Source organism: Homo sapiens, chromosome 7 (assembly GCF_000001405.40).
Source record: "Homo sapiens chromosome 7, GRCh38.p14 Primary Assembly".
NCBI classification, from domain to species: domain Eukaryota; kingdom Metazoa; phylum Chordata; class Mammalia; order Primates; family Hominidae; genus Homo; species Homo sapiens.
Genome location: NC_000007.14, coordinates 75,175,416 through 75,198,939, shown reverse-complemented (window position 1 = coordinate 75,198,939; position 23,524 = coordinate 75,175,416). Strand labels below are relative to the sequence as shown.

At 47.3% G+C, this 23,524-nt stretch overlaps 1 pseudogene across 1 annotated transcript in view; it reads left to right on the top strand.

Annotated features, from left to right (window-relative positions):
* GTF2IP1 (general transcription factor IIi pseudogene 1) overlaps window positions 1–13,557 on the top strand; it is a 52,323-nt pseudogene extending 38,766 nt beyond the window's left edge. The window contains exons 13-24 of the transcript NR_002206.3: window positions 891–992; window positions 1,901–1,966; window positions 2,144–2,327; window positions 4,228–4,283; window positions 4,957–5,037; window positions 5,960–6,041; window positions 6,710–6,893; window positions 8,373–8,401; window positions 9,684–9,725; window positions 10,824–10,865; window positions 11,645–11,720; window positions 12,413–13,557. The product of NR_002206.3 is annotated as a general transcription factor IIi pseudogene 1 (transcript). The remainder of the gene's footprint in view (window positions 1–890; window positions 993–1,900; window positions 1,967–2,143; window positions 2,328–4,227; window positions 4,284–4,956; window positions 5,038–5,959; window positions 6,042–6,709; window positions 6,894–8,372; window positions 8,402–9,683; window positions 9,726–10,823; window positions 10,866–11,644; window positions 11,721–12,412) is intronic.
* The last annotated feature ends 9,967 nt before the right edge of the window (window positions 13,558–23,524 follow it).

Genomic DNA, 23,524 nt, shown 5'->3' with positions numbered 1-23,524 from the left:
ATATTTCTTCCATCTCTTCATAAATGCAGAAGGAAATCACTGCATTAGGATCATTCTCTACATCCCAGGTGTCAAGTTTTTAAATAAGAGTTTGCCGTACTGGTGTTGAGTGGCGCAGAAGTCCCTATTTAGTCATGTGGCACACTTTCAGAGAGCCTGCTTTCTCATAAGATAGCCAACAGGCATCCATGGACAACTTACACCTGATTAATTATTTCTGTTCAAAAATGCCAAGAATTAAAAATATATTGAACCCTTGACTTTCCTCCTTCCGGAAGAGATCAGAGGAAGATCTCTCTTATATACAAGATGCCAGCCTTTCCTAAAGGGCAGAGCCAAGTTCACGGGGCCTGGGAGGCCTGCTTTAAGAATACAAAATTAGGGCCAGGCGTGGAGGCTCACGCCTGTAATCCCAGCACTTTGGGAGGCCGAGGCAGGCGGATCACCTGAGGTTGGGAGATCGAGACCAGCCTGACCAACATGGAGAAACCCCATCTCTACTGAAAATACAAAATTATCTGGGCCTGGTGGCGCATGCCTGTAATCCCAGCTACTCAGGAGGCTGAGGCAAGACAATCGCTTGAAACCAGGAGGCAGAGGTTGTGGTGAGCCGAGATTGCGCCATTGCACTCCAGCCTGGGCAACAAGAGCGAAACTTTGTCTCAAAAAAAAAAAAAAAAGAAGAAGAAGAAGAAGAAGAAGAGAAGAAAAATGGGTTTCTGTAGAAATAGAAAAATGGTTTCTGTGGAACTCGCCGGAATGACAAGAATACCCATTTCAATTTGAACCTAGCTTTGTTTTCTGGCACAGGCTGGACTTGAAGATTGTAACCTAGAGACACTTACGTCATTAAATGTGTGTTGATTATCATTATTTTTTCTGTCTTTTAGGCCCTAATAACAACAATCCTCAAACCTCAGCTGTTCGAACCCCGACCCAGACTAACGGTTCTAACGTTCCCTTCAAGCCACGAGGGAGAGAGTTTTCCTTTGGTAAGTAAGCGTTTTATTTTTCTTTCTTTCATAGTTTTAAATAGAATACGTTCATTATGTTTCATTTTACCAGGTGAATTGTTCCTATTGGTGAGTCAGTATATATCAAAGGTTAAAGGAATAGCCCGTAGAGCCAGGCTGCCTGAGTTCAGATCTGAGTTCAAATCCGATGCCACTTGGGCAGGCGAATACACCCTGCCTCAGTTTCCCTTTGTGCAAAATGGTAATAACATTACTTTCTTTCTCATGAGGTTATGGTGAGGATTATAAATACTGTCATTTAAAGTACTTAGAACCATACCTCGCATGTAGTAGAGACTATAATTTGTGGGGGCATTTTGGGGGTTTTCATTTGTTTTTTCTTTATTTTAGCATTTGTTCACTTATTTGTAGTCAACATAAAAACAATGTACTAAAACAGTTTGCTTATGTATCAGGATGGGAGTAGTTGTCAAGTCATATCATGGTAAAAGATTATGCATTTTTTATTTCTTCTTAAAGATGCACAAATAAGGCCAGGCGCAGTGGCTCACGCCTGTAATCCCAACACTTTGGGAGGCCGAGGTGGGCGGATCACCTGAGGTTGGGAGTTCGAGACCAGCCTGACCAACATGGAGAAACCCCGTGTCTACCAAAAATACAAAATTAGCCAGGCATGGTGGCACATGCCTGTAATCCCAGCTACTCAGGAGGCTGAGGCAGGAGAACTGCTTGAACTCAGGAGGTGGAGGTTGCAGTGAGCAGAGATCGCACCATTGCCCTCCAGCCTGGGTAACAAGAGCGAAACTCTGTCTCAACAAAAAAAAAATAAGATGCACAAATAAGATGAAACACTCCTGCCTGTGAATGTGTATTGATAAGTACTGTGATAAGTATTGCAATTTAACTCTCTTATGTTTTATATGCAGAGGCCTGGAATGCCAAAATCACGGACCTAAAACAGAAAGTTGAAAATCTCTTCAATGAGAAATGTGGTAAGTCTATTTTGAAACTTTCTTACTGCCACGCAGGGTGCCTTCATGGGAGTAGGAGGGAGCAGAGTGGGATACTGAGCGTTGGAGTATCCCTGTCATTGGCAACGTGTGGGTTTTTCGGGATTGAATGGCGTCATTTCGCCCATGTTCTGTTTCGTGTACGCGGCTGTTTTGCAGGGGAAGCTCTTGGCCTTAAACAAGCTGTGAAGGTGCCGTTCGCGTTATTTGAGTCTTTCCCGGAAGACTTTTATGTGGAAGGCTTACCTGAGGGTGTGCCATTCCGAAGACCATCGACTTTTGGCATTCCGAGGCTGGAGAAGATACTCAGAAACAAAGCCAAAATTAAGTTCATCATTAAAAAGTAAGGAAACTGGATGAAGTGGGATTAGCATGAGTTGATTGTGTTTGACACTGGGAGATGGGTATGTGGGTTTGTGTTTGTGGCAGGGCTGAATTAGCTCTGGAGTCAGAAAAACTGCTTTTTAAGCTGCACTCTTGTATATGTTTAAAACTTCTGGCCAGGTGCGATGGCTCACACCTGTAATCCCAGCACTTTGGGAGGCCAAAGCAGGTGGATTACCTGAGGTCAGAAGTTCAGGACCAACCTGGCCAACATGATGAAACCCATCTCTACTAAAAGTACAAAAATTAGCTGGGCGTGGTGGCACGTGCCTGTAATCCCAGCTACTTGGGAGACTGAGGCAGGAGAATCACTTGAACCCAGCAGGCAGAGGTTGCAATGAGCCAAGATCGTGCCACTGCACTCCAGCCTGGGCAGCAAGAGCAAAACTCCATCTCAAAAACAAAAAAAAAAAAAAAAGAAGAAGAAATTTTCCTTATGCTGCTGGTAGAAGGGAAGGAGGACTCCACCATACTAGAGAGATAACGACTTTTGGTTGCTAAATCTACACAGCTATGTTGTTACTATTTGATGCTGCTGGAATCTGAGCAGCTGTTTAGTTTTTCAAGTCCTTTTATTTCTCCAACTTAATAGAATATTTTCAATTTCTCCTGTTTGCTTGAACATCTGTGGATTAGGCTAACATAATTGAAATAGATAGGAATGGGCCGGGTGCGGCCATAAATCCCAGCACTGTGGGAGGCTAAGGCAGGCAGATCACTTGAGGTCAGGAGTTCGAGACCAGCCTGGCCAACATGGTGAAGCCCCATCTCTACTTAAAATACAAAAAAAAAAAAAAAAAAATAGCCAGGGGTGGTAGCTGGCACCTATAATCTCAGCTACTCAGGGAGGCTGAGACAGGAGAATCACTTGAACCCAGGAGGCGGAGGAGATCGTGCCATTGCACTCCAGCCTGGATGACAGAGTAAGACTCTGTCTCAAAAAAAATTAAAAAAAGAAATAAGAATAATTGGAATTTTATAGTACATGCTAATGCACATGAATTATTTGAAATCAATTGAAATGAATTTTAGGTTTCATTTGCTTGGTGTCAGGCTTAATTTTGAGTCACCCAGGGATGCTCTCAAGCAAAGCTGGCCACTTTTTTTTTTTTTTTTTTTTGTGAGACAGAATCTCGCTCTGTACCCAAGACTGGAGTGCAGTGGTGTGTGATATCGGCTTACTGCAAATTCCGCCTCCTGGGTTCAAGCGATTCTCCTGCCTCAGCCTCCAAAGTAGCTGGGATTACAGGCATGTGCCACCATGCCCAGCTAATTTTTGTATTTTTAGTAGAGAAGGGGTTTCACCATGTTGGTCAGGCTAGTCTCAAACCCCTGACCTCATGATCCGCCTGCCTCGGCCTCCCAAAGTGCTGGGATTACAGGCGTGAGCCACCGCGCCCGGCCAATGGCCACCTTTTATGCTTTTGGCCAGGTCTGCAGAGGTTTGGCAGCCTCTAAGCCCTCTGCTTCTGCTTCCGGAGTGAGAGCCTCAAGTGCTCCTGTTTTCACAGCCCATCTTGTGTTTCCATGCTGCGTTTGTGGGGCGTTTTCTCTTTGCATCCTCAATTCTGGCGCTGATTCTTTTCAGGATACATTCTAACCTTGGAAAGAAGATGCCAATAAAACCAGTGTAGGGGAAGGGCAGCCAATGAGAGGCAGCAATGGATGTTAAATTTACAATTGTGGTTTGTCTTTTTGGCTGTGGTTCTTTAGATAAGCATGTGATTTCTGTTCTTCATGACTAAGAATTGAATTTAGACTTTACAGAGTTACTGGTTTGTAAATCTTTGAGTTGTTTAAATTTTAATGTTAGAGTTTTACTGTTTGATCAGCACATTTTTTTTCTCTTTTGTCTATAGGCCCGAAATGTTTGAGACGGCGATTAAGGAGAGCACCTCCTCTAAGAGCCCTCCCAGTGAGTGTATTTTCTGTATTTTCATTGCTATAGAACACACGCTCTTAGGCATGCATTGTGCAGCTGTGGTTTACAAACATTGTTTAAAGAATAGCCATTGAGGCCAGGCATGGTGGTTCACGCCTGTAATCCCAGCACTTTGGGAGGCTGAGGTGGGTGGATCACCTGAGGTCAGGAGTTTGAGACCAGCCTGGCCAACACGGCAAAACCCTGTCTCTACTAAAAATATAAAAAATTAGCCAGGCGTGGTGGCAGGCGCCTATAATCCCAGCTACTCAGGAGGCTGAGACAGCAGAATCACTTGAACCCGGGAGGCGGAAGTTGCAGTGAGCCGAGATCGCACCACTGCACTCCAGCCTGGACAACAGAGCAAGACTCATCTCAAAAAGAAAAAAGAAAACCCATTCAAAGTTGTAGTTCAGGCTATTTCACAATTTTTAGTTATTTAATAATTGGGTGGCTCTGTGAGTGTGTGATGATCTCCTAAGTACCCCCAGGAAGAGAAAAACAGTGAAAGGCAGCCCTTCAGGGGGCATCATGTCTTCTTGAAATGATCTACCATGGAAAGAAAGAACCTTGAACAGGACTGAGATAAAACAGTCTCAGACAGCATGATTATTAGAGATGTTGACCGTGTTTTCTACAAATTCTGATTTTAAATGTATATTTTCAGGAAAAATAAATTCATCACCCAATGTTAATACTACTGCATCAGGTGTTGAAGACCTTAACATCATTCAGGTGACAATTCCAGGTATGATTTCTCTGCTTCCATCAGAGTTTTTGGGGGTCTCTTCAGGGCCTCTTGGACTTTCCCAACTAGAGAGGTTTGCTCAGCTCATCCGGGGACTCGGATACATTACACGTTGCCTGGTGCTCCTCCCAGACTCCTATAGCAGTTGCCTTCCAAATACAGTTGCTCTCCAAACAGCAACGGCAAGTTTTGGCACTTGGCATGAGCTAAATCCTGTTAACCACCCAAATGTCTAGTCTGTTCCTTAAAAAAAGTCTATATGAGACCGGGCACGGTGGCTCACGCCTGTAATCCCAGCACTTTGGGAGGCTGAGGCAGGAGGATCGCTTGAGGTCAGGAATTCAAAACCAGCCTAGCCAACGTGGTGAAACCCTGACTCTACTAAACATACAAGAAAAATTAGCCAGGCCTGGTTGTGTGTGGCTGTAATCCCAGCTACTTGGGAGGCTGAGGCAGGAGAAGTGCTTGAACCCGGGAGGTGGAGGTCGCAGTGAGCCGAGATGGGGCCAGTGCACTCCAGCCTTGGTGACAGAGCCATACTCCATCTGGGAAAAAAAAAAAATCTATATAAAACAGCAGGTAAAGGTCTTTATAACAAGAATAAATTTGTAGCATTTTTAGTTAGGCATTATTTTAAACAATTTCAAATTTAATTAGCTCAAAGTGCTCAAATACTTAAATCATTAAAAAATGGAAAATGCTTGAAAACATTACACAGAGCTCCTAAAAATTGGGATTAAAAGTGCATCATTGAGCAGCGGCTTGTACCTGTAGTCTCGGCTACTTGGGAGGCTTAGGCAGGAGGATCGCTTGAGCCCAAGAGTTCAAGGCCAGTCTGGGCAACATCGTGAGATACCATCTCTTTACCATAAAAAAAAAAAAAGCAGTATTTAAGTTTTGGGTTTTCTCTGAACTGTTTCAGATGATGATAATGAAAGACTCTCGAAAGTTGAAAAAGCTGTCGCTAAGAGAACAAGTGAATGACCTCTTTAGTCGGAAATTTGGTAAGTTTTGCATTTGCAAAGTACAGTTGCTATAAGCAAAGAGATTTGTTTTAATAAGATCTTTTCAGCAGATGATGGTTAGATGGTTGTAATCCTATATAAAAGGAGTTAAAATTTAAAAGTGAGTTGTTTGTGCTAAATTTATTTAATAAGATACCATTAGTGTTACACTATTGATTGTCAGTATGAAAGTTAATGAATTTAAGGTTCACCATCTGGCAGTGTGGCTCACACTTGTAATCCCAGCATTTTGGGAGCCCGAGGCAGGTGGATCAGTTGAGGCCAGGAGTTCGAGACCAGCCTGGCCAACATAGTGAAACCCTGTCTCTACTAAAAAATTCAAAAAATTAGCCGGGTATGGTGGTGCACACCTGTAATCCCAGCTACTCAGGAGGCTGTGGCACGAGAATTGCTTGAACCTGGGAGGCAGAGATTGCAGTGAGCTGAGATCAAGCCACCACACTCCAACCTGGGTGACAGAGCAAGACTCTGTCTCAAAAAAAAAAAAAATTTAAGGTTCATATTTAAATTTGTTTGAAGTGTACAAAGACCTTAGTTAACAGCAGAGACAGTCTTTAAAATAAATGTTGATCTTGTGCTTTTGACAGGCTGTTTAAGGCGGTGGGTTAATCTGTGCTGTTGTGCTGTTTGTCTCACTGTCCCTGTAGGTGAAGCTATTGGTATGGGTTTTCCTGTGAAAGTTCCCTACAGGAAAATCACAATTAACCCTGGCTGTGTGGTGGTTGATGGCATGCCCCCGGGGGTGTCCTTCAAAGCCCCCAGCTACCTGGAAATCAGCTCCATGAGAAGGATCTTAGACTCTGCCGAGTTTATCAAATTCACGGTCATTAGGTAAGTGAGAGTTTCCTGCTTAGTCACAGGAGCGAATCTGGAGCTCATGAGGCTGACTCTTCTAAAATGCAGCCACAGGTAGTCATCGAATCCGGCTTCCTATGCTGTGCAATCAACAAATCAAAATAACTTGTGTCATCATTAGAATGTCAGATGTGCTTCTACGAACTAAGCTGACTCTTTTAATTCTTTGGCAAAGGGTTGGCAAACTAGGACTGTTTGCCAAATTCAGCCTGCCTCCTATTTTTAGAGTCTTCCTGAAACACAGCTACACCCGTATTATCCATGGCTGCTTTCCTGTCACAGTGAGTAAGTAGCTGGGACTGAGAAGGCATGGCCTCCAAAGTCTAAAATATTTACTCTCTAGCACTTTGTAGAAAAACCTTAGCTAGGCACAGTGGCTAACGCCTGTAATCCCAGCATTTTGGGAGGCCAAGGCAGGCAGATCACCTGAGGTCAGGAGTTCCAGACCAGCCTGGCCAACATGGTGAAATCCCATCTCTACAAAAATAAAACAGTTAGCTGGGCATGATGGCGGGTGCCTGTAATCCCAGCTACTCGGGAGGCTGAGGCAGGATAGTCGCTTGAACCCAGGAGGTGGAGGTTGCAATGAGCCAAGATCATGCCACTGCACTCCAGCCTGGACGACAGAGTGAGACTCCATCACAAGAAAAAAAGAACTTTGTCAACCTCTGTCTTAGGGCGCCTTGTCACAGGCTTCGGGTCAGACGGATTCAACCTTGCATCAGCCATTTGTTAGCCAGGTCACTCTGTTCTTTGTCTGTAAATGAGATTGATCGTTGTTCCCACTGAGAGTGTCAGCTCCTTCCCGTAGAGCAGGCATGATGATTGTACTCACCTCTGACACCATTGTGAGTGCCACATTCCTTCCCACGTCCTTGTCACTGTAAGAGATGCCCACCTGAGCACCAACCCCAGGTTATCTTCCCCTTTGTCTTCCAGCCCCCCAGAAACAGCTACGACTCAACCTACCCAATCATTTCATCATCAGATTGCCACTGTCTCTAGTTCAGGTCTCTTGGGACTGGCACTCAGAAATCTCATAATAAATCCTCTTGAGGCTTCTCATACACTCGTCTTCTTCCAATCTTCTTTCCCTCAAAATCTCATATTTTGGTTCCACTTCACCCACCGTCATTCTCCATATCACTCCCAGGAGTTAGGCAAAAAGCCCCTTCCGTTCTTCCGTATGTTAAACTTAGAATCACTCTGTTCCCTGCTCTGCGTTTCTATTTTTTGTTTTTCCTCCATTTACTAGTAGCTTAACACTTTCTAACAGTGTTCTTATTATTGATACGTATCTATCTCTTCCATAAGCTTATAAGGTCACGGATAATACTTCTCATTGTAGTACGTAAATGACGTGGGCTAGATATGAGTTGAATAAACAGTTATACCTGTAAATTCTTACAGAGTGAAAATAAATTGTTATACTTTACAATTTGTTTCTCTCTTTAGACCATTTCCAGGACTTGTGATTAATAACCGTGAGTATTTTGTGAAGTGTTTTGTTTTTGTTTTTTCCTGGGGTCTGACGTGTGTGCGTGTGAGTGTGTATACATGCTTAACGTATATCACGTTACTTCACCTATGTCAGTAACCAGGCCAAATACTTGTTTTAGCCCTCAGTAAAAACACCAGGCACTTCCTAGTTGTAAAATTATTCAAGCTTCTTAACTTCCTATCCTCGATGCACTTAATCATAAAATGGTAATAATAGCACCGATTTTGGGGGAGTCGTTCCAGTAGATGGAAAGCATCTGGAACAGGTGTCAGCAAGCTCCTGCCGACGTGTATGCATAAAGTTTTATTGAAACCACCATCGTGTCCATTTGTTTATGGCAGAACTGAGAGATGGCAGCAGCAAGTGTGTGCCTGCAAAACCTAAAATATTTACTAATTGGCTCTGCAAGAAAAGAGTTTGCATCCCCCTAACCTAGAACAGTGTCTAGCCTCTAGTATGTGTTTAGCCTACAGTATGTGCTCAGCGAATACAATCTATATTTATTACTGCTTTTATGACTGTTATAATTACTGTGCTTGGATTTCGTTACAAAGTAAGTCACAATGTGCCTGCTTCTGTTAGTATTTCAGCACAGTGCCTGGCACACATGGGGCTCTCAAATATTGCTGAGCGAGTGAACAAATGTCCTTTCAATTCCTTAACGTTGATGTCATTTTCAATAGTATTTTGAGCCAAACTTAATTTTGCGAGTGTGTTTTGTTTTCTTAACTTTATTATTAAAAATGTATAAAAGTGAGGCCAGGCGTGGTGGCTCACGCCTGTAATCCCAGCAGTTTGGGAGGCTGAGGCAGGCGGATCAGTTGAGGTTGGGAGTTGGAGACCAGCCCGTCCAACATGGTGAAAGCCTGTCTCTACTAAAAATACAAAAATCAGCTGGGTGTGGTGGCGCGTGCCTGTAATCCCAGCTACTCAGGAGGCTGAGGCAGGAGAGTTGCTTGAATCCTAGAGGTGGAGGTTGCAGTGAGCTGAGATCGTGCCATTGCACTCCAGCCTGGGCAACAAGAGCAAAACTCTGTCCCAATAAATAAATAAATAAAATGTTCTCTTTTGTTCCTGTTCTTGTGCGGTAGTGTGGTATAGAGTTTTATGGTAATTACTGTGAATTAGTGATTCTGAGGGACATATCAGAACTCTGAGGTTTGTTTCCTTCTCATCTTGAGGGAAACAGCAAATGTATGTTAAAATGCTTTTCCAAGGGAACAACACATCCTTACATTATTTAAACCAATCTGCTTCATTTTCAGAGCTGGTTGATCAGAGTGAGTCAGAAGGCCCCGTGATACAAGGTGAGCGAGGCAGGGGAGGGCCCGGAGCTACTCCTGCCTGCACAGTGGCACACATGGCGTGCCTGCGTGTGGCTTCGGCTCTCAGTCACCTGCCCTGAGGGGACTCAGTTACACAGCACACACATGCTTCTCTGTGGTTTTCACTCCTGGGTTTGACAGCTGATCAAAACATAAATTCAAGCTGTGGGTCCTGATTGAGAACTGGGGGCTGCAGACCATTTGCACCCCCTATCCCAGCTCAGGCCTAACATCAGGAACCCCAGGATTAATGGGTAGGATGAAATGGCAGAGCAAGAGGGCCGTCACTTTAACCTGACTCTGCCATCCATTTCTAATGTCTGCCATAAGTCAGTGAGCAAAATGTTCTTCAGTAGAAATGTACAGATTGTGCTCTTAAAAAATTCCTTAAAAAACAAGTGGAATGGCCTGGTGCTGTGTGAGTCATTGAAAGTAATGAGACTGGGCGCGGTGGCTCACGCCTGTTATCCCAGCACTTTGGAAGGCTGAGAAGGGTAGATCACTTGAGATCAGGAGTTCGAGACCAGCCTGGCCAACATGGTGCAACCCCGTCTCTACTAAGAATACAAAAACTAGCCAGACGTGGTGGCGTGTGCCGGCTACTCAGGAGGCTGAGGCAGGAGAACCGCTTGAGCCTGGGAGGCGGAGGTCGCAGTGAGCCAAGATCGTGCCACTGCACTCCAGCCTGGGCAACAGAAAGGAGATTCTGTCTCAAAAAAACAAACATACGAAGAAAAACAAAAAAAGTAATGAAAAGCTTTTATTAAAGGGAGTAAACAGAAGGATAAGGGAGAAAGCATAACTAAGGAGCTTGTTTTCATGGTAGAGCTATGTTAAGACTCTGCTCTTTCAAACTTCAGTTGTATATGTGAACTTAGGACCACATTTGAAAAACAGAAATTTGAAAGTACACTTGGATAATCGTGTGCTCCATCTCAAGACCGTGAGCATTGTTTCATCATGCACCTGTGTTTGTACAGAGTCTAGAGGGCTTTTCTCCTCTTCCTCCTCCTGGGTTCTTTACATAGTATAAAGCAGCTGTTGAACAATGTGGAAATCAGTCTCTGTGTTTCTCTTTAGAATCAGCTGAACCAAGCCAGTTGGAAGTTCCAGCCACAGAAGGTAAAAGGGTGGGGTGGTCCTGCAAGTCCTTAAGACTTCTTCTTTCTTCTTCTTCTTTTTTTTTTTTTTAAAGACAGAGACTTGCTCTGTCACCCAGGGTGGAGTGAGGTTGTGCGATCTCTGCAACCTCCGCCTCCCGGGCTCAAGCAGTTCTCCTGCCTCAGCCTCCCGAGTAGCTGGGATTACAGGCCTGCACCACCATGCTTGGCTAATTTTTGTATTTTTAGTAGAAACGGGGTTTCACCATGTTGGCCAGGCTAGTCTCAGACTTCTGACCTCAAGTGATCCGCCAGCCTTGGCCTCCAAAGTGCTCGGATTACAGGCGCGAGCCACCTTGCCCAGCCAAGACTTTTTTATCAGGACAAAGGATTGTGCATTTAAACTATTTCACTAGAACTGGGTGGTGGTTTTGCTCTCTTTCTTCTGGGTGAATTGGATTTGCAGGTTATGCTGTTGAGTGATGACGCATAGCTGCTTTTGCTCCATTTCCCCCAGATGACTTGGTAAATTCTCCGTGAATGACTCTGCTACATAACCTAGATAACCTAACGTGTGTCCTTTAAATGCATGTAAGCCAGAAGATGTATGTTACTTTGAAAACATAAGTAACAAAATTTTGAATGTATTGCTAAAGAGATGTCTCTCTGAAGCTCTTTTGATGTTTGGTGTCTTGTCCTTCTTATTAAACCATATCTTAGTAAATAGTTTGGTACGAATGGATTTATCACTGAGCAGGTCTGCAAAATAATTAATCGGTACCGTTTTGTTTCTGTTGATAGAAATAAAAGAGACTGATGGAAGCTCTCAGATCAAGCAAGAACCAGACCCCACGTGGTAGACCTCTTCCCTCCTAGGGTAAATCAGCTTCTGTGTCAGGGATGCTGTGTGGCGTCCATCTGAACCCCCTGCATACGCGTAGCTAATGTGATCTCCCCACTTTCACATAAGATGGTGGCCCTGCCTTCAGGGAATGTGGGAGCCAGGTGGGAGCCTTCCCGGATATTTAAGCTAGAAGATTCTACAGGGAGATTCTCCTTGGATCAATATATGTCTCTCAGTCAAAGATGTAAAAGCACTTTTGCCTTAAAAAGAATGTTCTGTTTCTAAATAGAGTCAACGTTGTCCTCCTCATTGGAATTCACTATGAGTCAGAATCATTAGACTGACTTTTTTTTTTCCATAGTAATAGTATTTTGCAGAGTCTCACAGAGCTGCAGATCTTTTGTTCATCTTGCAGAGTTAACAAGTCTGATCCTGTTAGTCCAGATTTCTTAAATTTGGCCAAGTTATAATAGGAGCAGTAGCTTGAGACCCGAAGTCAGGAAACTTTGACAATGGATTTTTTTTTTTAATCCAGAGACTTGTACTGGAATTTGCCTTACCCTGTCAGCTCATGGACTTAAGGTTTCATCCCGCTTTATGAGTGCTTCTGAATCCAAGTCATTGTTACCTGAATTTGCAAATTAAGTTGTGATATTCGTGACTGTTAAATTCCTGTAATTAGATTAACCTCTTTGCTTGCTTGTTTGTTTTCTCTCCTATTTTAGCTTAAAGTATCAGTGGTTGAGAAGAGCTTTTCGGACCTGTTACTACCCCAAGCTGTGTAATATACTTGTATAACAGAAATACCTTCTATACAAACCTTTTTTTCTACTTTTAGATAGAAATGTCTACTTTTTCAGCAGTTCTGTGAATTAAAGAGCAGAGTGACTGTGGGTCTGGAATGGCTGGTGTACTTGGGAATGTACTATCAGGATTTTACAGCAATGCTGGGAAATGACAGGGAAAATGACAGGAATGAATCTCACCAGATTTTTTATGTACTCAGCAGAGCCTTGAGTTACGGTGTTTATTTTCCAATCAAGTGAAGATATCTCCTACTTCTCCTACTGGAACATCTCAGCTTCTGCAGTGAAGAAAAATTCCTGTGATAGTTCAGTTCTTTAGTTTTTCTATTTGAAAAAAAAAAATCATTTAAATGATCCTTTGTTCACGGCTCTCCTTAATGACTGAGTGAACAGTTCCTATCTGTATATTTGACTAAACCTTTTCCTAAGCTATCTCTCATGGTTCCTATGTTTTTTTATCATAATTAAAAGCAAAACCATCTGGATCACCTAACAGTCAGAGGTCAGTATCTCAGCGTGTGAATTATAGAGGAAATACAGAGAGAACCTCTTCCACTTTTACTTTTCGTCCAAATAAAATGCATGGTGTACCAGAAGTTGAAGATCGGGTTGAGGATTGGGGCTAGCTCGATGACACTAAGGCCCCAACATCGCGGGACCTGCTGTGGCGCGGATTCTTAGGAACGCTGTTCTAGCCGGCCCCCTCTCCAGGGGTCGCCGTGGCCGGCATTATTTCCTAGTTCTTCTTGTAACCCTGAGGTGCCAGCGCGGGGAGTGAGGAGGGGTCAGGGGGCTAAGGATGCAACCTCTGACGTTCTGCGCCTTCCTAGGAGAGTCTTACATGTGTTGAGATTTCACAAGCAATGCGAGTTGTAAAATACCAGCTCTACAAGAAGCTAGGCTCTGTGACGGCATAGTTTTCAGTAGCTTTATCACAATATTCACAATGGAGAATTATATGACATGGTAGCAGAAATAGGCCCTTTTATGTGTTGCTTCTATTTTACCTCAAATTGTAGATATAGGGTAATCAATAAAATCCATCCATGCCTTTCACACACTAAGTCATTGCTCTCTCGGCTGTTTTCATGGTCCTGTCTGGGGAAGCTTGGGGGTGGCTCGGCGTAGGTGGGACGCAGACCAAGGCCGAGGCTGGCGCTGGGCAGAGCCCGCCGGGCCTCCCGGGGACAGCGCCACTTGCGGTGTTTCTCAGACCGCTGCTGCCCATCTCCTCTGAGCGGGCCAGGGCCCCCACCCTTCCATCTGGGCCATGCCAGCTGTGTATGGAGAGCCGCTCACATACGACATTGGGTGCCAAAAGCCCCTGCCATCGAGAGCTCATGCAGCAGTCCCTCCTGCCTGAGCCCACACACTGACTCTGAGGCTCTTCTGTTCTCAGCGTGGTCCCTGCCTCTGCCGTGCCCTATCCGCGTGTGCCAGAAAGGGAAACTGATCTCACGATTCACCTGCCTGCTAACCTGGGAGGAGACTGCTTCTCTGATAGCATCTCACAGTTCTTTTAACATGTTCTTAAAATGTGTCCTGCCGCGCCACCCTCAGCCACACCTCCCAGCACCCATCCTGGAGAATCAGGGCCATGGCAAGGCTGCCGTTGGCAAAAGCCCAGCTCTGCCATGAATCTCCGTTCAGTTACTGGTTTCACACTCATTTGTGAGGTCACAGACTTGCCAAGGATATTCATGATTCAATCCATTACAACAATTCTGTGTGTACATAACACATTTTTTCCTTTCTTTTTTTTTTTTTTTTTCCTGAGACAGTCTTGCTCTGTTGCCCAGGCTAGAGCACAGTGGTGCAGTCTCAGCTCACTGCATCCTCCACCTCACAGGTTCAAGCAATTCTCCTGCCTCAGCCTCCCGAGTAGCTGGGATTGCAGGCACCCACCAACACACCTGACTAATTTTTGTATTTTTAGTAGAGACGGGGTTTCAGCATGTTGGCCAGGCTGGTCTCAAAATCCTGGCCTCAGGTATATACACATATTTTTACACACACACACACACACACACACACACACACACATAAAGGATTTAAGCCAGGTGCTGTGGTGTACAACTGTAGTCCCAGCTACTAGGGAGGCTGAGGTGGGAGGATCACTTGAGCCACTGCAGTGATTACACCACTGCACTCCAGACTGGGTGACAGTGAGACCCTGTCTCTTAAAAGAAAAAAGAAGAGGCCTTAGCTGCCTGCATTAATTAATGAACAGGCAGTGTATTTCTGTTCTTTTTTTTTTTTTTTTTTTGAAGACGGAGTCTCACTCTGTTGCCCAGGCTGGAGTGCAGTGGTGCAATCTTGGCTCACTGTAACCTCCGCCTCCTGAGTTCGAGATTCTCCTGTCTCAGCCACCCCAGTAACTGTGATTATGGCCACCTGCCACCATGCCCGGCTAATTTTTGTATTTTTAGTAGAGACGGGGTTTCCCCATGTCGGCCAAGCTGGTCTCAAACTCCCAACCTCAAGTGATCCACCTGCCTCGGCCTCCCAAAGTGCTGGGATGACAGGTGTGAGCCACCAAACCCAGCCTCAGGCAGTGCATTTCTAAAAGGCAGATAGTGTGATTGTTCAGAGGGTGAAGGGGAAGTTAAACTTGTCCAGTAAAATCTTCGTTAGCCCGGTATTCTGGATTGAAAAAGCAAAATATAGTTCAAGTAGGTCTCTTCAGTGTATCTAATAAGCTCTTGTTTCTGAAACAACTGATTCCTTGGCCGGGCGCGGTGGCTCACGCCTGTAATTCCAGCACTTTGGGAGGCCAAGGAGGGCAGATCACTTGAGGTCGGGAGCTCAAGACCAGCCTGGTCAACATGGTGAAACCTCGTCTCTAGTGAAAATACAAAAATTAGCCGACTGTGGTAGTGCACACCTGTAATCCCAGCTACTCGGGAGGCTGAGGTAGGAGAGAATTGCTTGAACCTGGGAGGCGGAGGCTGCAGTGAGCCAAGATCACACCACTGCACTACAGCCTGCGTGACAGAGTGAAACTCTGTCTCAAAAAAACAAAAACCTCCTGATTTTTTTTTTTTTTTTTTTTTTTTTTTTTTTTTTTGAGATGGAGTCTGGCTCTGTCGCCCAGGCTGGAGCGCAATGGTGCGATCTCGGCTCACTGCAACCTCTGCCTTCTGGATTCAAACGATTCTCCTGCCTCAGCCTCCAGAGTATCTGGAACTACAGGTGCCTGCCACCACGCCCAGCTAATTTTTTGTATTTTTAGTAGAGATGGGGTTTCACCATGTTAGCCTGGATGGTCTCGATCTCCTGACCTCGTGATTTGCCCACCTCGGCCTCCGAAAGTGTTGGGATTACAGGCATGAGCCGCCACACCCGGCCGCCTCCTGATTTCATAATAATTCAAGGGACAAACATAATTACTTCCCAGGTAAGGCAGTAGAGTGACTAAGAACAAATCCACTTCTGGACAGCCATTATATAGGGGACATTTTTATCAGAAAAACAGTAAAAGCAAGGAAATGTCTCCCTCCCAGGACTGTATGAATTAAACCCTGCCTGCTGATTGCCAAGTGACAACTCCCATTCCAAGCCCCTGGTCCTCAGTGGGGAGGAAACCAAAGCTTTGTCCCTGGAGGGAGGTCCTGCGGGAATGGCCAGGGACGCATCCGCTCTCAAATGCTAGAGCTGGCAGTTGTCATCTGCTCGTGAGAAGGTTTCGCCTTTGCCTGTCCCCACCCCCGTCCCTCCCAGGCCATCAGCGCACATCAGAGTTAGCACATTACATGATGCCTTAATCTTCTAATTGGTTTAAGTCAGCTGACATGTAAAGTGAGGTCTGGGAGACTGTTCTGGAACTGTATAGATGAGGACGTTGTTGCCCCAGTCTTATTCAGAAGCTTGAGGATGCAACTTGGACCTGGGTCTGTGGTCCCCTAGGACCTGAAACTCATATAGAGCCAGCCGCCAGTTCCATTTTGAAGTAGGTTGGTCTCTCTCTCTCTTTTTATTTTTTGAGACAGAGTTTCGCTCTTGTTGCCCAGGCTGGAGTGCAATGGCACGATCTCAGCTCACCGCAACCTCCACCTCCCAGTTCAAGCGATTCTCCTGCTTCAGCCTCCCGAGTAGCTGGGATTACAGGCATGTGCCACCACACCTGGCTAGTTTTGTATTTTTAGTAGAGATGGGGTTTCTCCATGTTGGTCAGGCTGGTCTGGAACTCCTGACCTCAAGCAATCCGCCCGCCCCAGCCTCCCAAAGTGCTGGGATAACAGGCATGAGCCCCTGTGCCTGGCTGTAGTTTGGTTTTTCTGAGCCTCCTCCTGGTTCCCATTTCTGTTTTTTTGTTTTTGTTTTTGTTTTTTCTCCAAAGACCAAAAGTTCCACCAGAGAGGAAGATCGAGGGACCAGGCCTTTCTAGTTTCCACATTACACTCTAAGTGCTGGTCTTAGTAAATTCAAGGCACCTGGTGGGCTTGACCATTCGGGGGCAGATAATTGTTACACACCAAAGGGGCATCTTTTGGAAAGTCACTGCCCAGTAACCACTTCCATCTTCTGGAAGGTCGCTGCTCATCTTCCTAAATGGAAGCCCCAGTTTCTGGACTTGGATGTGTTTTGAGGATCTGATGTTCTCCCAAAGTGCCTCAGTTTCCCTATGATGGGGAAAGAGGAAGGGGACGGATTTTAGGAATGGAGGTGACCTGGAGGCCGCTGTCCCTGTCCTTAGACCTGCGAGTCCAGGGGGATGACCGCAAACAGGGCTGTGGGGCCTTTCTTTACTCTCAAAAGCATCACTTCCCCTGCCTGGAGTTCAGATCCTGCCTGGATCCACGGTGGGAAGGGAGCTCTGGCTCTCTGTACTTCACCCACGGCTGCCCACTCACCTGGCTCACAGGGCAGACTGGATGCAGCTTTCAGCCAGTTGTAGAAATCACAGGTCCCTGGCCGGGAACGGTGACTCAGGCCTGTAATCCCAGCACTTTGGGAGGCCGAGGCGGGCGGATCATGAGGTCAGGAGATCGAGACCATCCTGGCTAGCACGGTGAAACCCCGTCTCTACTAAAAATACAAAAAATTAGCCGGGCATGGTGCTGGGCGCCTATAGTCCCAGCTACTCGGGAGGCTGAGGCAGAATGGCGTGAACCTGGGAGGCCAAGCTGGCAGTGAGCCGAGATCGCACCACTGCACTCTAGCCTGGGTGACAGAGCGAGACTCCGTCTCAAAAAAAAAGAAATCACAGGTCCCTAGGGGCCTAGTGGCCCATCGGTGACAAAGGGCAGGTGGACCTGGTGTGGCTGCACCAGAGGGGCCTTCTCATCCTGGGAACTGGGCTAAAAACCAAGCCCAGACTGAGGCCCATGCTTTTGTCCCCCCAGCCGCCTCGAGGTCCCTCCTTACCTGCCCCCTGCACCCCTACCCCATCTTAACTCTTTTTTTTTTTTTCCAAGATGGAGTCTCGCTCTGTGGCCCAGGCTGGAGTGCAGTGGTGCAATCTCTGTCCCCTGCAACCTCTGCCTACCAGGTTCAAGCTATTCTCCTGCCTCAGCCTCCCGAGTAGCTGGGATTACAGGTGTCCACCACCACACCCAGCTAATTTTTGTATTTTTAGTAGAGACGGGTTTCCCCATGTTGGCCAGGTTGGTCTCGAACTCCTGACCTCAAGTGATCCGCCTGCCTTGGCCTCCCAGAGTTCTGGGATTACAGGCGTGCGTGAGCCACTGCGCCTGGCACCGCACCTTAATTTTGAGGAAGTGTTGGGAAAGCTGGCTCTGACATCTCTTGTGAGGCAAGCCCAGCTGGGGAAGGTGTTTCCTGCCTGACTTCCTCCCCAGAAGCAATAGCAGGGCTTGCTGTGGCATCCGCTTCCTGCGGGGGCTCAAGGTTGCTCGTTCCTCAGGCTACATAAAGCAGTAAGGACCCACCCAGGAGGACCCCTCCAGAGGTGTGAGGGCGATTTGGTGGACACAGGTAGGGCCAGCGACAGAGCAGAGGGCACACCTCCCAGAGCCCCAAATGCCACAGGCTGAGAAGGTCTAGCTCTAGCTGCATCCAAAGGACCTGTTGAACTCCTGTCCCGATTGACACTAAAACTGTCCCCTCCTGTATGGTGCCCACACCCTTCAGGGGAAACCCCTGGATAAACAGCAGTCACTGCAGGTCTCCAAAAAGACAAGGCCGGAACAGGGAACCTGGGGTGCATGTTCAGGAAGCTGTGGCAAGTGTTGACACCACAGCCCCAAGTTTCTTTTTCTGGCCCGCCGAAGATGAGCTTCAGTCCCATGGAGGTGACAAGGTTGTCCTCCTGCATGATGGGGCTCTGCGGTGCCTCTGCGCCTGGGTAACCCCTCACCGAGAAAGCCACGTCTACAGGTCCCACCTGTCTGCAGGTGTGCCGCCCCCAACTCCAGGCCTGTGTGACTTAGCGACTGTCCCAGATCTCTCCTGGGAAGTGGCGCAGGGGCCTGGCCCTCAGTGAGTCCCAGAGGGACCGCACCACCATTGACTTCACTGTGCTGCTTGGAGCTGGGGAGATGTGGAAACGGCCACTCCAGACCCAGTGACTGGCTGGTGCTTAGGATGTGATTTCCTCATTACTGAAATTTGTTTCAAGTGTACAGAAATCACCATCGGCCACGTGCAGTGGCTCACGCCTATAATCCCAGCACTTTGGGAGGCCGAGGCGGGCGGATCACCTGAGGTCAGGAGTTCGAGACCAGCCTGGCCAATATGGAGAAATCCTGTCTGTACTAAAAATACAAAAATTAGCCGGGTGTGGTAGCGGAAACCTGTAATCCCAGCTACTCAGGAGGCTGAGGCAGGAGAATTGCTTGAACCCAGGAGGTTGGAGGTTGCAGTGAGCCGAGACTGCGCCATTGCACTGCAGCCTGGGCAACGGAGTGAGACTTTGCCTCAAAAAAAAAAAAAAAAAATTTCACCAAAGCCCCTGGGGGTGGTGGTGCACTGCGGAGTTTATAGCCTTCCTGGGTGGCAGAGGGCAACTGGGCCCCTGAGCACAGAAGTGGGGCTCCCGCGGGGGTGGGGCTGGCTTGGAAGGTCCCCATTCCTGTGGTGCATATTTGATGAGGGCCCATGTCGTGCCTGGAGCTGGGCCAGAAGCCACAGTGCAGTGCAGTGGGGACAGACCCAGCCTGTCCATGGGCTTGGTTACTGTCAGCCTGGCCGTGTCAGGGAAGGCTTCCAGGCCACCCACACAGCTGCACCACACCCAGACAAGCTCTCCAAGGGACATCATGAGACTGCTCCACTGTCAGAGCCCCGGGCCGGTGGTCCCAGCAACTTGGGGTGCCTGCTGTCCTTCATGTGACATTTTCTTCATTCAAAGCTCAATTTAAACAGCAAGAAGCCTCCCTGCCTCCTACCTGGCAATTTCCCTGCCCCGCACCTTGGAGGCAGCCCCTGCGCAGTTTGCATCTGGTGATGGCCAACGTTTGCCACCCTAGTACTTGACCCTATTTAATCCTCACGGCAGCCCATGAAGTGGGTACAGTGGTCAGTGCCATTTCACAGATGAAAAGACAGAGGCTCAGGGAGCTTCAGCCACGTGCACAGCTCAGCCGTCAGCCTGCACGTCTCCCCACGGGGCCTGGGTCTCCGTCTGACTCCCCTGAGTTGAATGCCTGGGGCCTGGAGCCCATTCTCTTGTGTCCCTAGGCCAAGGGCTGGAGATCAGGTCTAGGGGAGAAGGGAATTCCCAGGGGTGTGGTTCAGGTGTGTCCTGGGACAGTCTCCCAAGGGCAGGTCCCTGATTCCCCTCTGCCGAGGCCTCAGGGTCCACCCCTGCCAAGCAGAGCCCAGCGCAGGTGATTTGGCTGATAAAGGAAGATGGGTCTCTGGGGAGGCAGCGAGTGGCCCACTTTCTTCTTTGCTTTTTTTTTTTGAGATGGAGTCTCACTCACTCTGTCTCCCAGGCTGGAATGCAGTGGCACGATCTCGGGTCACTGCAACCTCCGCCTCCCGGGTTCAAGAGAGTCTCCTGCCTCGGCCTCCTGAGTAGCTGGGATTACAAGCACCTGCCACCATGCCCAGCTAATTTTTGTATTTTTTGTAGAGATGGGGTTCACCATGTTGGCCAAGGCTGGAGTGGCCAGCGTTTCTGCCTATTGACACCTGCCTGCCAATACAGGGTCGGTCACACAGAGCCAGCGTCATAGGTACCTTGGGGCCCATCCTGCTGCCCTAGGCAGGAGGGAGAGCTGGTCCTGTGGGCTGGCCCAGGAGACGGTCACCCAGGGCTGTCCAAGGGGATGGATCCTGGCTGTCACTCGCTCAAGAAGAGGCAGCAGGAGAGGCTTAGGTTAGATCTGGGAAAGAACTGTCCCACCCAAAGGCTGATTTGCTCCAGTCCTGGGAACTGCTAGATTCCCTCTCCTGATAAAATGTCCCAGAGGGCACTGCGTGGGTCCCATGCCCTGACGCCAAGTCGCCTTTCTCCTGATATGGTACCCACTGGCCTGGCCTTGGGGATTTCCTGGTTAAAGAAATAGCGAGCTCAGCCCATCTGGGGAAAGCCAAGTGGCCTGAGGGCGGAGACGGTGACATTTGGAAAAAGGCCAGGACTGGCAGCTCAGACCTGGAAGCCCCCACTCCCTGCCAGCCTGGCTTGAGGTGAGAGCCTTCCTCATGAGCCCCCTACCCCCACTCATTCATTCATTCATTCATTCACATTGTTCAAGGGCAAGGCATGAGAGTGCAACAGTTAAATCATGGGCCTGGGTCCAGACTGCCCAAGTTCAATCGCGGTTCTAGCCTGGCGCGATGGCTCATGCCTGTAATCCCAGCACTTTGGGAGGCCGAGGCAGGCAGATCACTTGAGGTCAGGAGTTCGAGACCAGCCTGGGCAACATGGTGAAACCCCATCTCTACAAAAAATACAAAAATTAGCCGGGCGTGGTGGCACGAGCCTGTAATCCCAGCTACTCGGGAGGCTGGCACAGAATTTCTTGAACCAGGGAGGCGGAGGTTACAGTGAGGCAGGATTGCGCCACTGCACTCCAGCCTGGGTGACACAGCAAGACTCTGTCTCAAAACAAAAACAAAACAAATCCCAGTTCTGCATATACCAGCTGTGGCAATCTGTTTTCCTCTCTGTTTTCCCATCTGTGAAGTGGGGAAAATTGTACCCACTCCCTGACAGCCTCCTTGTGAGGAGAAGATACGGTCATAAATAGAAAGCACCTAGAATAGTGCCTGACGTAGGGCAGGGCGGCGGGGTGCGGGGGGCCCTTCCTATTAGCACTCGGGACGTGGGGGAATTCTTGGGGCCCTGGTATTGTTCTAACACCCAGTGATGGTTCACCAGCTGTCTCCTTTATAATAATTAGGTAAGAGATGTGGTTTTCTACATATTTCACAATACAAACATTTTTAGAAATTCTATTTCCTTCCCCTGAAAAAACTCTCTTATCTCTTTATTACTTCCTTCCTTAACTTTATTTTATTTTATTTTATTTATTTATTTTTTGAAACCAAGTCTACTCTGTTACCCAGCCTGGAGTGCAGTGGTGTGATCTCGGCTCACTGCAACCTCTGCCTCCCAGGTTCAAGCGATTCTTCTGCCTCAGCCTCCCAAGTAGCTGGGATTATAGGCTTGCAATGCCATGCCTGGCTAATTTTTTTATTTTTAGTAGAGACCCGGTTTCACCGTGTTGGCCAAGCTGGTCCCGAACTCCTGACCTCAGATGACCCACCCACCTTGGCCTCCCAAAGTGCTGGAATTACAGGCATGAGCCACTGCACCTATCTTTTTTTTTTTAATTAAAAAAATTATTTGGTACCTTGTTTCATCCATGCATTAAATTAAATCCTGGCCAGACACAGTGGCTTATGCCTGTAATCCCAGCATTTTGGGAGGCTGAGGTGGGAGGACCACTTGATACTGGAGCTTGAGACCAGGCCGAGCAGCATCTCGAGACCCCGTCTCTACAAAAAAAAAAATAATAATAATAATAATAATAAATAAAAAGTGGAAAAAATCCTATGTCATCCTGAAAAAAGGCTGTAAGCCTGCTTACAGAGGTCATTACAAGGTCAAACTCAAGTTCGGAGCGCTTCCTGCCTCTGCTCATCCAACAAACTTGCTGGATACCTCCTGTCTGCAGAGCACTTTGAGGGAACATAACAGGGTCTTGGGAGGCCACAGGAGGAGAGTTGAAAGATCACAGCCAGGGGCTCAGGGTGTCCACAGGACAAGTACCCTTGGCCAGGCAGTTACGCAAGTGTGGAAAGACCGCTAGAGGAAGGGAAGGAAGTGCCGAGAGCCCACAAAATTCTCTGCTTACAACCAGCCCCACTAGAACCTTCCTCTGCCCTGCCTCGACATGCCCAGGAGAGCATCGCTGCAGGTCTGGCCTCTGTGCTGAGCCTTTTTTTTTTTTTTTTCCTGAGACAGAATCTCACTCTGCTTCCCAGGCTGGAGTGCAGTGGCAGGATCTCGGCTCACTGCAACCTCCACCTCCCTGGTTCAAGTGATTCTCCTGTCTTACCCTCCGGAGTAGCTGGGATTACAGGTGTGTGCCACCATGCCCAGCTAATTTTTGTATTTTTAGTGGAGACTGGGTTTCACCATGTTGGGCCAGCTGGTCTTGAACTCCTGACCTCAGGTGATCCGCCCACCGTAGCCTCCCAAAGTTCTGGGATTAGAGCTATGAGCCACCATGCCTGGCTACCATGCTGGGCCTTTCGAGGAGGCATTTGACAGGGAAGATGAGAGACAAATTGAGTGTCAGGGAAGGGGTGTTGATAGAAAAATTACAGGAGAGCACACAACTTTCAGCGGGTGAGCCCAGTGCCTGAGCTGCGGGACCACCCTACCAATGACCTTGAACTTATCTGACTGCAGCCTTGAACTCCTGAGCTCAAGGAGTCCTTCTGCCTCAGCCTCCTCCCAAGTAGCTGGGACTACTGGCACATGCCACCATGCCCAGCTAATTATTTTTTTTATTTTATTTTATTTTATTTTATTTTATTTTATTTTATTTTATTTTATTTTATTTATTTTATTTTATTTTATTTTATTTTATTTTATTTTATTTTATTTTATTT